Source organism: Homo sapiens, chromosome 5, assembly GCF_000001405.40.
Source record: "Homo sapiens chromosome 5, GRCh38.p14 Primary Assembly".
Taxonomy (NCBI): domain Eukaryota; kingdom Metazoa; phylum Chordata; class Mammalia; order Primates; family Hominidae; genus Homo; species Homo sapiens.
In genome coordinates this window covers 68487925-68503382 of record NC_000005.10, presented here as the reverse complement: position 1 = coordinate 68503382, position 15458 = coordinate 68487925, and the positions used below count along the sequence as shown (strand labels likewise).

The following is a 15458-nucleotide window of genomic DNA, read 5'->3' as shown; positions in this document are numbered from 1 at the left end:
CTACAGGCTGCTCTCTTGCCGCTGCTATTTACGCCCCTGGCTCTGGCCACATAGCTGTTTTCTAAAGCTCTTTTCCCTATAGCCTTTTTCAGCCCACAATGTCTTCCCCTTCCATCTATATCAGACTTTTACCTGTGCTAGAATCAGCTCAAGCATCAAATCTCTAATTATACATTTGTGTTTAGCTTCCAGAAAGAATACATTTATTGCACGCTTTGTTGTGTCCTCACTTCCCTTACAAAAACTCGATATGCCAGGTGTCTTTGTTTGTCTCTGCAGGTTCATTCTTCACCCTTCTACGTCCTCCTCTGTGCCCCAGGAGCTGGTCCATATGGACTTTTGGCTCTCTTGTTCTCCAGCTCCCAGTGGGGTTCGGCTAATGTGAAATACCAGCAGGAGTTCATAAAGGAGAAGGAGAGAGTTATGGTATTTATTTCCTGGCTGTCTCCCTTCCTTTCTAGTTGCTTTGGTTTGTCTAGATCTTTATACCAGGAGCTACAATTTCTTTTAGGCAGCCCTCTGTAGCTGCCTGCTTTTGTTCTGGTATACCCTCCCCTCCATGTTTTTTTGGGCCTCTGGTGGTAGCAGCAGTTCTCAGTTGCTGCTAGCCCTTACTTCACTGCCCTTGTTTCCTGAAACCCTGGCCATGCCTTTCTGAATAGTCACTAATTTGTTTCATGAATTGCTCAGTATGAGTGGACCATCCATGTCCTATAAGACTGACTGATACACCTAGTTTGGAGAGTAGATCAAGAACATTTTGTAATGTTTATAGTCTGATAGTTTTGTGTCTTTCTTCCAAGATGCTCTCTGCACTGCTTCTGTGAGCTGTCAAATGGGTAGACCAAGCCCAATGATAACACCAGAAAACATTATTTCAAGCCCCCATAACTGCACCTCAGATGGGGTGTTCGAATGCCATTCACAAAGTCCATAGAGACAAATCTAATCAATTCAGATCAGGAAAACTGTAACATTAGAACTTCAGTAGCTGGGTGTCCTTCACACTTATTAGCAGAGGATGAAACCTTTATAAGACAAATATAGCAGCAAATGTAGAGAACCAATCCTGGTAGTGCAATCCCACCACAGGATAAGAAGGCAGCAGTTCAATTAAATAGCAGGCATTTAGATTAATTATCTATGGCAAACCAAATCACAAATTAGATGCTCAATAAATGCTTGTAAAATGGAATATAATCAGATTATTGCTTGAGCCACAAGCTCTGTGGAGCACTGACTTGACACCAGAATTGAATTCCTGTTTGAACCAGCCAGAATTTCTGAAGGCACCATGTTCTTCTTTGGACATTGGCGGAATGCCCCAAGTTGGGGAATGCCATGTAACAGCCTCTTAATTGCAAATCAAGGAGAGCAACTCAATGTAAAGTACAGTCATCCCCCAGTATCCATGGGAGATTGGTTCCAGAACTCCAGCAGATACCAAAATCCACAGATGCTCAAAGTCCCTGGTGTACAATAGCATAGTATTTGCATGTAACCTAACCACATCCTCCTATGTACTTTAAATCATCCCTAGATTACATATAACACCTAATACAAGGTAAATGCTATGTAAATAGTTGTTCTACTGTATTATTTAGGGAATAATGACCAAAATATGTCTGTACATGTTAAGTACAGATGCAATTTTTTTCCCCATATATTTTCTTATTTTATTTTTGAAATGGAGCCTCACACTCTGTTGCCCAGGCTGGAGTGCAGTGGCATGACCACAGCTCACTTCAACTTCTGCCTCCTGGGTTCAAGCGATTCTTGTGCCTCAGCCTCCCAAGTAGATGAGACTACAGGTGTGTGCCACCAAGCCTGGCTAATTTTTGTATTTTTAGTAGAGACAGGGGTTCACCATGTTGGTCAGGCTGGTTTTGAACTCCTGACCTCAGTTGATCTGCCTGCCTCAGCCTCCCAAAGTGCTGGGATTACCTCCCCAAATATTTTCTATTTGCCGTTGGTTGAATCCATGAATACAGAACACACAGATATGGAGGGCCAACTGTATTTGCTAAATGATAATGGCGACCACACAGAAACTGCAGTGTGTGGAAAATTACATGTCTGATCTGGGGACAGTTGAATATTTATAGGTCAAGATCAATGAGGAATCTCTCTGGCTTTCCTCTCCTACAAATCCCCAGATTCACACAGGCACATGCATCTGAGCCTCTAGGCTGGGGGGTCTGGAGAGGCAGGCACCGTCGAGAAGGAGTTTTTCATGAGTGATGGTTGTGGATGAAAGCAAAACCCCTGACTTGTGTGCCCAGGGGCTAAGATCTGAACTCCTGGCCTGAAAGAAAGGCTCTGTTGAAAGAACAGTAGGCCTCCCTATGCTAAATTTGGCCAGTGGGATTTTTTCAATTTGCACCTGGTGTTGGGCTGGAGTTCATGAAAATCCACAAAAAGGAATGTTTCCAAGTTGAATGACGAAAGGGGAAAAAAAAGTCGAACGGGAGTCCTTTGGAATCATGAAAAGCACTGATTCAGTTTGTGAAACGGAGACTTAAGTCTTTGCTAGGGAGAATGTTTCTAGGCCAGCCTTGGAGGTCTGGACTCTGTTCTCCACAAACATGCGCAGTGTAGTATTTGCTATCACCTGGTTGGTTAGCCTTTGAAAGGTGAGTTGAGATGCTCAAAACCACCCAGTGGGAGCCAAAAAGTCTATCCTTTTCTAACCAGGAGCCTTGCTCATCATCTCTTTCCACTGCAGAAGGTTTTTTCCACCCCACTAAATATTTAAAATTCATATTCAGTGACAGCCCTTTTTTTACTAAGTTGAAGCGTTTTGGTACTTTCAAAAGGGCTAGTCTTTTTGTAAAACATGCATTTTATTTCATCTAAAAACTTATCTTTTAGTAGTAGGAAAATAATAAATGCTTATTATACAAATTTCAAATGGCAGTAAAGAGAACAATGCAGAAATACAAAGTCATCCTTAATTTTACTCCAGAGACAACCACTGTCGAAAGATTGGAGGATATTCTTCCAGACTTTATTTTCCACGCGTTTAGCAATATACAAGGCGTGCATCTTAAAAATCCTAATACAGCAAAGTTAAAATTGCACAGTGAATTCTCTGTACTTATGCAAAGGAATAAACTGCTTTTCTGATAAGCATAAATGACCTAATTGGTCTCATTCTTGGCACATTGCTAATTTTTGAGACATTTAGAAAACTTTTAAATGACTTGTCCTAAAAATATTTGGCAGGACGTATATTAGAAAACTATGGAGTAAAGTGATCAGGGTGAGGTAGAATGATTCAGTTGATGATTTTCAGTTTATTCTAGGGCTGGGTCCACATTAATGAGGGAGAAAGATGGTACTGTTAATCCAAATGATGTGAAAAAAGCTTCACTATGTTTTATTTAAATGCTCTGTAAAGTTTTACAGAAAGGGTTGTTCTGAAGTTGCAAGCTCCTCGCTTGTTGCCTTGTCAGGCAAGGCTGCTGAACTCATCAGTCATTATTTTAATTTCTTTGTATTGTTGTTGTTCTTTTAATGTTGTCAGTTTTTACAGATGAATTTTCTGCTTTTTTTTTTTTTTTTTTTGAGATGGAGTCTCACTCTGTTGCCCAGGCTGGAATGCAGTGGCACGATCTTGGCTCACTGCAACCTGCACCTCCACACCTCCTGGGTTCAAGCCATTCTCCTGCCTCAGGAGCAGTAGCTGGGATTACAGGTGTGCACCACCATGCCTGGCTAATTTTTGTATTTTTAGTGGAGATGGGGTTTTGCCGTGTTGGCCAGTCTCGTCTTGAACTCCTGTACTGAAGAAATTTGCCTGCCTCAGCCTTCCTAAGTGCTGGGATTACAGGCATGAGTCACTGCACCTGGCCCATTTTCTGCTTTTGTATATGATTTTAATTTCTATTAAAATGCTCATTTGCTCCCATATTGACTAATCTCAGCCTCAGCCTTGTTTCTTTGGGGCCCTTCTTAAAGGTGCTTGAATTCATCAATGTGCTTGGCTAAGGCTGTGCTTCAAAGTTATGATAATTTGTGAAGCTGATGGATGCAAAAACTTTAGAAATGTACATTGGAATTTCCAGTGCCTTTATAAAGATTAGAAATTTTTTAACGTAGAAAGATAATGATAATGAAAAAAAACTAGGGCTTTGACTATGTGCCACACATTGTAACAAGTGCTTTTTGTGCCTTATTTAATTCTCCATTGTTCTTAGGCAGTAACTACATTTATTATTGCTAGCCTAAAGATGTGTAAACAGAGGCTCAGTGTATTAGTCCGTTTTCACACTGCTGATAAAGACATACCTGAGACTGGGCAATTTACAAAAGAAAGAGGTTTATTGGACTTACAGTTCCACATGGCTGGATAGGCCTCACAATCATGGCAGAAGGCAAGGAGGAGCAAGTCACATCTTACGTGGATGGCAGCAGGCAAAAAGAGAGCTTGTGCAGGGAAACTCCTGTTTTTAAAACCATCAGATCTCATGAGACCCATTCACTATCTCAAGAACAGCATGGGAAAGACCCACCCCCATGATTCAATCATCTCCCACCATGTCCGTCCCACAACACATGGGAATTATGGGAGCTATAAGATCAGATTTAGGTGGGAACACAGAGCCAAACCATATCATTCCGCTCTGTCCCCTCCCAAATCTCATATCTTCACATTTCAAAACCAATCATGCCTTCCCAACAGTCCCCAAAAGTCTCAATTTATTCCAGCATTAACTCAAAAGTCCACAGTCCAAAGTCTCATCAGAGACAAGGCAAGTCCCTTCTTTCTATGAGCCTGTAAAGTTAAAAGCAAGTTAGTTACTTCCTAGATACAATGTGGGTACAGGCCTTGGGTAAATACAGCCATTCCAAATGGGAGAAATTGGCCAAAACAAAGGGCTACAGGCCTGATGCAAGTCCAAAATCCAGCAGGGCAGTAAAATCTTAATGGTCCAAAATGATCTCCTTTGACTCCATGTCTCAAATCCAGATCACACTGATGCAAGAGTTGGGTTCCCATGGTCTTGGGTAGCTCTGCCTCTGTGGCTTTGCAGGGTACAGTCTCCCTCCTGGCTGCCTTCACAGGCTGGCATTGAGTGTCTGTGGCTTTTCCAGGCACATGGTGCAAGCTGTCAGTGGATCTCCCATTCTGGGATCTGGAAGATGGTGGCCCTGTCCTCACGGATCCACTAGGTGGTGCCCCAGTAGGGATTCTATGTGGGGGTTCTGACCCCACATTTCCCTTCTGCACTGCCCTAGCAGAGGTTCTCCATGAGGGTCCCGCCCCTGCAGCAAACTTCTGCCTGGACATCCAGACATTTCCATACATCTTCTCAAATCTAGGCGGAGGTTCCCAAACCCCAATCCTTGACTTTTGTGTACTCTCAGGCTCAACACCATGTGGAAGCTGTCAAGGCTTGGGTCTTGCACCCTCTGAAGCCATGGCCCAAGCTCTACAGTGGCCCCTTTTAGCCACAGCTAGAGTGGCTGGGAAGCAGGGCACCAAGTCCCTAGGTTGCACATAGCACAGAGATCCTGGGCCTGGCCCATGAAACCACTTTTTCCTCCTAGGCCTCCAGGCCTGTATTGGGCAGGGGGGCTGCCATGAAGACCTCTGACATGACTTGGAGACATTTTCTCCATTGTCTTGGGGATTAACTTTTGGCTCTTCGTTACTTTTGCAAATTCCTGCAGGCTGCTTGAATTTCTCCTCAGAAAACGGGATTTTCTTTTCTATTGCATTATCAGGCTGGAAATTTTCTGAGATTTTATGCTCTGTTTCCCTTATAAAACTGAATACCTTTAACAGCACCCCAGTCACCTCTTGAATGCTTTGCTGCTTAGAAATTTCTTCTGCCTGATACCCTAAATCATCTCTCTCAAGTTGAAAGTTCCACAAGTCTCTAGGACAGGGGGAAAATGTCACCAGTCTCTTTGCTAAAACATAACAAGAGCCATCTTTGCTCCAGTTCCCAACAAGTTCCTCATCTCCAACTGAGACCACCTCAGCCTGGACCATATTGTCCATATCATTATCAACATTTTCGTCAAAGCCATTCAACAAGTCTCTAGGAAGTTCCAAACTTTCCCACATTTTCTTGTCTTCTTTTGAGCCCTCCAAACTGTTCCAACCTTTGCCTGTTACCCAGTTCCAAAGTTGCTTCCACATTTTTGGTTATCTTATCAGCAGCGCCCCACTCTACTGGTACCAATTTACTGAATTAGTCTGTTTTCATGCTGCTGATAAAGACATACCAGAGACTGGGCAATTTACAAAAGAAAGAGGTTTATTGGACTTACAGTTTTGCATGGCTGGGGAGTCCTCACAATCATGGCAGAAGGTAAGGAGGAGCAAGTCACATCTTACATGGATGGCAGCAGGCAAAGAGAACTTGTGCAGGAAAACGCCTGTTTTTAAAACCATCAGATCTCATAAGACCCATTCACTATTATGAGAACAGCACAGGAAAGACCTACCCCCATGATTCAATCATCTCCCACTGGGTCTGTCTCATAGCACATAGGAATTATGGGAGCTACAAGATCAGATCTGGGTGGAGACACAGAGCCAAACCATATCACTCAGAGAGATTGAATCACTTGCCCAAGGTCACCTAGCAGGTAACTTGCAGAGTCTAGATTTAAACCTAGGCTAGAGCCTTAACCACTGTGTTTCACCGTGTGTCACCTTATTGTTATGAGGCATTTCTCCTTTGTTTAACCCTGTGATGCCATTTCAGGCTATGTGCAGAGGATCTCAACCTGGATGCACATCAGACTCACTGGGGATCTTGGAAAATATGCCAGTTCCAAGCCCACCCCTTAGAGATTCTGATTTGAGACTGAACACAAAAGTAAAAGTTAACAAAAGTTAACAAAAGTTAAATAGAGGCCAGAGTTGGTCTTTCAATTAAGTGATTCTAAAGCACAAACTTTGGATTAGAAATACTTTGCTCTGGGAGATGGATACATAAACTCTAAGAGTTTCATAGCTTTTTCTTATCTTATTTTACCTTGCTTTGAATACTCATGACACATCTCCCATTGACGCACCTGTTTCAAGAATCAGCTCCTATACGAAATTTTCTAATCACTCCCTGCCTTCATTCCCTAAGCAATTTCATATTTAGTTTGGCCCAGATACTGGTGTAGTAAATGCCTTGTAGTTAGATTTTGATCAATTTATGCAGCGGCATCTTCCGACCCAGTTAATTTATGTAGTCTTTAAGGGAAGAACTATGTCTTCTACAACTTCTGTCTTCCTTAAACTACCCTCCATGGTGCTGGGAGTGCAGATATACAAAAAAATGCTGGCTGAGTTAGTGGCAAAACTGCTGTGGATTTTGAACCTGTGAGAGGGTGTGCAAGGGGCAAAGAAGAAAAATAAGTCAAGTCTTATGGCAGTCTTGTTGTTCTAATCACATTTTATTTACATCATACTTATTGAGCATCTCCTAAGTGGTAATCTTGTTTAGTTTGCCACAGATGCCAGACAGTCCTTGCTGTCATGTTGCTTATATTCTAGTGAGAGGGACATTGATTTCTCACATAAATAAATGTACAACCAAGTCATTTCAGATACTATAAGGGTCTGGAAGGAAACATAAGTTAATGTGGAAGAGAGTGACCGGGAGGAAAGGGGACTTCAGGGAAGTTGGAGAAGGCCTTGCTGAGGGAGGGAATGTGTGAGACTGAAATCAGAGGAGTCAGCCATGAGAATTCTGCAGAACATTCCAGGCAGAAGCCCTGGAAGTAGGCATAAGATCTCAGTCTGTGTGTCAGGTAGGGCAAACATACTTGACAAGGAGGCCAGTGAGGGGTCCAGAGACAAAAGGGTGTGTTGGATTCTGTAGGCCTTGTAAGTCACAGTAAGAAGTGTGTATTTCATTATGAGCATGAGATTTTGAAAACTGCATGTACCCAATTGCAAATCATAGTCAATTGTCGGTGCAAATGCAAAGGCATATAGGCTGCCCTAATTATTTCATACAGTTGGATGGGGGCCTTAAGACAATTCTGATAGTGACTTCTAGGGTAGGGAAAGGTGCAGTGTATTGGGTTCTATTTGTTCTAACAAAACATGTCCCTTGATGCAGCATCCAAATGCCTGAGGGACAGATGTTTTTTCTAACTATGCTGAAAGAGGGGAAAGGCAAGCCCCAATTTAATGTTTCTCATTTTATGCTGGTAGTAACTTGGCACTAGTAAAATTATGGCTTATTGTACTGTTTAATAATATCAGTTGACTATAACTCAGCTTTCTTTTCATACATCAATATGAAACTCATAAGTAGCAGAAACAATTTTGATAGCTACATGGTGTATTAGTTTTCTATTGCTGCATAACAAACTCCCACTAGTGTAGCAGCTTAAAATAATACACACTTATTACCTCACAGCTTCTGTGAGTCACAAATCCCTGTACCACTTAGCTGAGTCCCCAGCTCAGGGTCTCACAAGGTTGCAGTCAGTGTCTCAAGGCTTAACTAGGGAAGAATCTGCTTCTGAGATCACTCAATTTGTTGGCGAACTTCATCTCCTTGCAGTTGTAGGACTGAAGGCTCCAGTTACTTGCCAACTCTCAGCCAAAGGCCACCCTCAGACCTAGAAGCTGCCCTCAGCCCCATAAGCAGGTCTCAAACATTTTTCTTTTATACATTTACTTTGCTCTCCATGGGTATCTTCTGGAGGTAGAGAGGGAGGTGCATCTTTTAAAACACTAGTTGAAAACTGGCTTTTAAACTCACAAATAACTGCACCATTGTTAGTTTTGACAACAGTCCCAAGACTGCTTCCTATCTTTTTCAGGTAAGATCATGCCATTCTCTAGCAAATAGTCAAAATAAATCTACTGAATTTTCCAACCTACCTTTCTAGGAGACAAGCCTGCCCCTGGAATATTTGCAGAGTGGATGTCCTATATACACACACACAAAGTGCTCTGTCATCTTTCAGAAGAAATCCAATATTATAAAAATTACCAAAAAAGAAAAAATGAATCACAAAAAAAACCTGGGCATTTAACTAGTCCATGAGTATGGCATGAAGTCAATATCTCTCGTAAACCAAAAAGCATCTGAGACAAGTCTCAATCAATTTAGAAGTTTATTTTCCCAAGGTTAAGGACAAGCCCAAGGACAGCCTCAGGAGGTCCTGACAACATGTGCCCAAGGTGGTTGGACTACAGCTTGGTTTTACACACTTTAGGGAGACATAAGACATCAATCAATACATGTAAGAAATGCATTAGTTTGATCTGGAAAGGTGGGACAACTCAAAGGGTGGGGTGGGGGACTTCTGGGTCACAGGTGGATTCAAAGGTTTTCTGATTGGCAATTGGTTAAAATAATTTATCTAAAGACCTGGAATCAATATAATGGAGTGTCTGGGTTAAGATAAGGGGTTGTGGAGACCAAAGTTCTTATTATGCAGATGAAGCCTCCAGGTGGCTGTTTCAGAGAGAATAGATTACAAATGTTTTTTTTTTAATCAGTCTTACAGAGTCTATTCTGTTAGTTCTAAGGTCTCTGTTTTAATGTTAATGCTGGTCAGATGTGTCTGAATTCCAAGGGGAGAAAGCTGTAATGAGGCATGTCCTACCACCCATTCCCATCATGGCCCAAATTCGTGTTTCGGGTTTACTTTAGAATGCCCTTGGCTGACAGAAGGGGTCTATTCAGTTGGCTGGGGGGCTTAGAATTTTGTTTTTGATTTACACCTTTTAGCAAAGGTTTGTCTTTAATTGTCACTCTTTGCCTACCCAGTATTTGAGTGGTTCCTGTTGATTCTGGAGACTTCAGTCCTCAAGATATTAGATCCAAAGTGTGATATTGTTAGGTCAAAAGCAGTGAAGTAGTGGCAGCCAAGATTCTCCATGACTGCCATAGTCCACTCCTTCCCAGTTCCCCACTCCATTACCTCTACTCATTCCTCGATATGGACAGTAGATGTTTTCTCCATCTTATGTAAAGAGTTATGTAAACTGGGCTCCAGGACAAGACACATCGACACTCTTCAATTACATTGCTGCTCCCAAACCTCTTCCATTTAGAATACCTGGGGCTGCTTCCATTTTAGGTTGATATCAACTAACAGACATTTGGAAACATATCTTTTTCCTCACCTCTGAGAATTCCAAGGGACAAAATATCATTTAAAACCCTATCTAAAGGAAAGATGTGGGCTAGCTTCTTCCCAGGCTCAGACAACCAGTTTGGTTTGTTCTTTAGGGGGTGGCTGCTGCCAACCTCTCAGGGTTTCCTGGGTCAGAGAAACAGAATTTGGAACCTGTAAGTGTTGACTAAGACAAATACCACATATTTGATCAGCTAAGTATTAATAAATCAGCTAAGTAATAATAAATAATAAATCTAATTGTAATAAAATTAATAAATAAATTTGTGGCTTAAATTCCCTTTGAAATATACACACACACACAGGTTAAGGAGAGAAAGCATTTGGCAGAATACATCTGAGGAGTTGCCAGCCATATAATTCTTGAAAATAGCCAGATAAAGTTTGCCAAACCTAAAAGTAGTTAGATTTGCTCATCTATACATTAAAGAAACATTAAGGCCTTTACCTATCGACCTGCACCTACTAAAGAAAAGGGAATTTCAGAGTTGAAACTAACATTTCTTTCAAAAAAAATCACCTTCCCCTGACTAATTATCACTGAGATCTCAATGGGTAATATTGCATATCTAATGCATGATATCCAATAACACACCAGTGTGGAGTTTGCAAATACATAAAGGTTGTTTTAAAGAGGGCAAGGACAAGTTAGCCTCATTAGGTCAAGCAAATATAAGAACAAGTAATGGCCTCTGGTCAAAGTAGGCAAGAGGTAGATAAAATATTTAAAAAGATGGTATTATGTAATAAGCAAGGCCATAACAGTGTCAGAATATAAAATGGCATGCCAGAGGTAGAAAGTATGATATAGATACAGTCTTGAAGTTCTCAGAAGAAAAGAGGTATTCAAATGATGGTGATGATGATGGTGGTGGTGGTGGTTTATGTATTTATTATTATTGTTATAACTACTATTTATTACATTCCTAGCATGAGTTTAAAACTGGGCTAGGTTTGGTGCTAAGCCCTTTGCATATAGCATTTTTAAGCCTTCTCAGAGCCCTTCAGCATAAGTATTCAGTTTATGTGATGACTTCTGTAAAATTACTGAACAGAACCTAAAAGACCTATTGTCCATCTGAATCTTAGGCCCCTATGAAAAGGCACCTATGAATAGTAGAATGTCTGATACTTAGAAGTCCTCACAGATTTCCAACCATTCGAACATAGTGCCATGCTTAATCTGACCCAAAGTGATTAAATGAAGCTCATCATAGAACCCAGTAGTAACTATGAGGGATGGGTGGCCCAGTCTATATTCAAATTTGCTAAGAAGATGCAAATAGCATTTCTTCAAGTTAATGGACCAAGTGGGGTTCTTGGATTGACCCAACCAACCAATTCTACACTTATAATATGCAAGATAACATTTATCAAGAGCTTACTATATGCCAGATACCGTTCTATAATAGTACTCTTTATATACAGTAACTCATTTAATCTTCACTACAACCCCAATATATAGTTTTTAGTCAAGAGTGACTAATACTTTGAAATAGTATTAGAGTAGGCTGACTTCTATAACAAATGTCCCCCAAATCTTAATGCCTTCCCACAAGAAAAGATTTATTTCTTGCTTACATCACAGTAAATCTGATGATTGGAAGACAAATGTTCACGCCATGTTTCAGGGAGGCAGCAACAGCTTCAGAGTCCTAAATCTTCCTCTCCTGGATCTTCTACAACTGGCCAGCAGACAATGAGAAGAGAGAAAAGGCATGGAAAATCTTGTGGAAAGTTTTAGGGGTCAAATTAGTACTGATGTAGCTAGCCATGTCTGCCCACATCCCAGTGGGCAGAGCTAGTCACATGGTCCCACATAGATGCAGAGAAAGAATGGGAAACATGATTTTCCATTGTTCCAGGAAAGAAAAGAACCAGGAGAGTAGGCACAAACAATGTTTCTGCCACAGATAGGTACTACTATTATCCATGCCTTATAATGGAGGAAATTAAGGGACCACTACACAAGATCACACAGTTTGATATCCAGTATCACCCAATCAAGAAGCAGGATAGGGATTCAAACAGCAAGCAATCTTATCCTTAGCCTATGCTTATACCATGACTACTGCTCCTCAACTATAATTCAGGGTCAAAAACATTATTCGCCAGTCATCACTATTTGGTTTGATAGTTTCATCCCAAATCTAGCCCCAAACTGTCATTTTTGTGATTGCTTAAGTATGTCACTTACAGAGTCCCAATCACAGAGCATAGGAAAGCCTGTTATTCAAACAAAACAAGATTCTAAACTTTGCAGAAACATTGCACATTAGCCTTCCACTCCCACCTTCTGTATTCATTCCTAATTTCAGGCCCACCCTCCTACTTACTAACTACCACTACCGCCCCCCAAAAAGAAAAGAAGAAGAAAGAGAAAGTCCTGATAAAGCTTTTCCAGTATTTAAGAAGGTCAAGGGGAGTTTAGTGAGTTAATATCTGCCTGCACCTAGATTTAAACAGACATTTGGCTCCTTTCTTATAATGGATGGCTGAGAATATCAAATCATGAGCTGTGACTGAGTCTAACCCAGCTTTCAGCCTTGTGCTCAATAGCAGGATGCCCCATTACTTTCCTTACCCACAACTGCTATGTCTCATGTGTCCAAAGACATTTGAAACCACATCACTGAGACTCCCCTGTGTTGCTTTTCCCTGAAGTCTTACAGACAACTCAGACTGGCCTGGTCAGACCCTTGGAAAGCTTCAAAAGCCCGGCTGTCAGATGTGTACATGTCAACACACCACCTGTTCCGGCAGGAAACCCACTTTGTTTTCTATTTCTTCCTCCCTTGGGAAATATGCCTGTATCTGGCATCCATCCCCACTGATCCTGCATCACACACCTAGACAAAAAAGTAATTTCATTTCTCAAGCCATTTCTCCCACTTTTATGAAAATTTACTTGAGTTCTCTCTCAACAGGCATGTTGAACTCCTATGTCTTCCTCCTCTTTATGTATTCAAAACTATTCTTGCTCCATTTTTTTCATGCTTCCCCTAATTTGTTTCTGTTTGGAGTCTTAATTCCATCTCTTCTTACTACCTTTGATTATATAAAAGAACCCTTCTTAAGTAACCTAAGATGTTTTCATTTGTATCAGCTACTAATCTTAATTGTTTTTACTGCTATTCCGGAATCTATTGTCATTTCTCTTTAGACAAGTTTGACTATTTGCTTTTCTTCACTCCTAATAGCACATACTAAGGTATAAATAGTATGAGTGGGTAAACATGACAATATTAAAATATGGTCTTATGCTATTGATCTGTATTTTAAGAAACATTGCTTTCTGGATCTTTAAAAGATCAATGGATTTTCACTTTTTGCAAAGTTCTACCACCTCTGTTGTTTCAAACATAATTTCTCTGGAGTATGAAAAGAAATGGGTTTCAAGGAGGTTGCTTCACTAGAGTGTAGGCAGGTCAGATGGATTTTCTTCTTCCTACAGAATCATCCTGTGATATTGAAAAAGTGAAGCTGGAGGAAAAAGTGTATTTAAGGAAAGATATTATGGGACCGGAAGCTTAGAGAATTTAACTTTACTTCTGTGACTCAGATGCCTCCCATTTTAAGCAAGTCATCTGAACACTGTGTACTTTGGTCTTGCCTCTTTATAAAAAGGAAACCAATAAAAATATAGCACCCAAAATATAGGCCCCTTACAAATTTCCAATAATGGCTCATTAAAATTCTCTTCAAAGTGGTGTAGGTGAAAAATTAATGAACTCACTAAGCAGGTTTTTTTCCTAGAAATTGATATTTTGTAAACATTCCATGCCTTCCTCCTTCTATCTCCTCCTGCCAAACTTTCAGCTGGTTCTTCTTTGTGGAACACTCTTCCAGTGAGCAGTACTTTGATTTGTGTTTCATGGGGCATGAAAATTGTAGTGAAAAGCATGGGAAAACAGGGTATAATGAGATTTGTGGTACACAGTCTTGAACATGACATGGATTTTCTTGTCCATGCCCCTCTGTCTTTTCTACAACACTGTGACACATGTCAGTACTCTTACAAGTTGTCTTGACTCTTTCAAGGTCAAGTTGAACACGTGGGCTCAAATCCTGGCTCCATTTCTGATTAGTTATATGATTTTCAGCAAGATCTATAACCTCTCTAAGACTTGGTGTCCTCATAAGTGAAGAACTCATTGAGCACTGTGAGAATTAAATGAGAAAAAGCCTGAGAAGCACATAGTGCCTCGCGTATGGTTAGCACACAACAGTTTGCTGTCCATAAACTCAGTGGAGGATATTTTAAAAATATTAAATTAGTTTTTCTTATTCTTCCTTTCAAGAAATTCCCTGACAAATCCTATTTACCTGGGTTCCTTTTTAAAGTTGGTTGCCACAGGGAAAGAGATGGTGGGCACAATAATCTTGAAAGCCAAGCTTTTGAAAAATACAAGAATCTTCTACATAGTTAAACTTCCCTTTACTTGTTAAGAGTCAAGTGTGATATACCACATTAATAGAATAAGGATAAAAATCACATGATCACCTCAGTAGAAGCAGAAAAAGCATTTGACAAACTTCAACACCCTTTCATGACAAAAACACTCAACAAACTGGATATAGAAGGAATATACCCTAACATAATAAAGACCATGTATCATAAGCCCACAGCTAACATCATACTCAGTAGTGAAAAACTGAAAACAATTTCCTTTAAGATCAGGAACAAGGGAAAGATGCCCACTCTTGCCACTTATACTCAACATAATTCTGGAAGTCCTATCCAGAACAATCAAGTAAGAAAAAGAAATAAAAGAAATCTAAATTGGAAAGGCATAAGTAAAATCATCACATGACATAATCTTTTATGTAGAAAACGGTAAAGACTCCACAAAAGACCTTTAGAGCTAAAAAATGAATTCAGTAAAGGTAGAGAACACAAAATCAAAGTACAAAAATCAATTGTGTTTCTGTACACTAACAGTGAACTATTTAAAAAAGAAATGTAAAAATTCCATTTATAGTAGCACAAAAAAGAGTAAAATACTTAGGAATAAACTTAATCAAGGAGGTGAAAGACTTCTCCACTGAAAACTTTAAAACATTGATGAAAGAAAGACGCAAATAAATAAAAGACATTCCATGTTCAAGGATAATAAGAGTTAATATTGTTAAAATATCCATACTACCTAAACTAATCTGCACATTCAGTGCTATTCCCATCAATATCCCAGTGAGATTTTTTTACAGATATAGAAAAAATGATTCTAAAATTCATATGGAATCACAAAAGACCCACAATAGCCAAAGTGATTTAGAAAAAGAAGAACAAAGCTGTGGGCATCACATTTCCTGATTCAAAATATATTACAAAGGTACGGTAA

At 40.2% G+C, this 15458-nt stretch overlaps 2 long non-coding RNA genes across 4 annotated transcripts in view; one reads left to right on the top strand and one right to left on the bottom strand.

Moving 5' to 3' along the window:
• The window catches only part of LOC105379013 (uncharacterized), a 406546-nt gene that overhangs the window by 329475 nt on the left and 61613 nt on the right, over positions 1-15458 (top strand). The gene's annotated exons all lie outside the window — the stretch shown is intronic.
• LOC105379012 (uncharacterized) overlaps positions 1-15458 on the bottom strand; it is a 29314-nt gene that overhangs the window by 9368 nt on the left and 4488 nt on the right. The window contains exon 2 of the long non-coding RNA XR_948411.3: positions 11698-11801. This is a non-coding gene — a long non-coding RNA (uncharacterized LOC105379012). The remainder of the gene's footprint in view (positions 1-11697; positions 11802-15458) is intronic.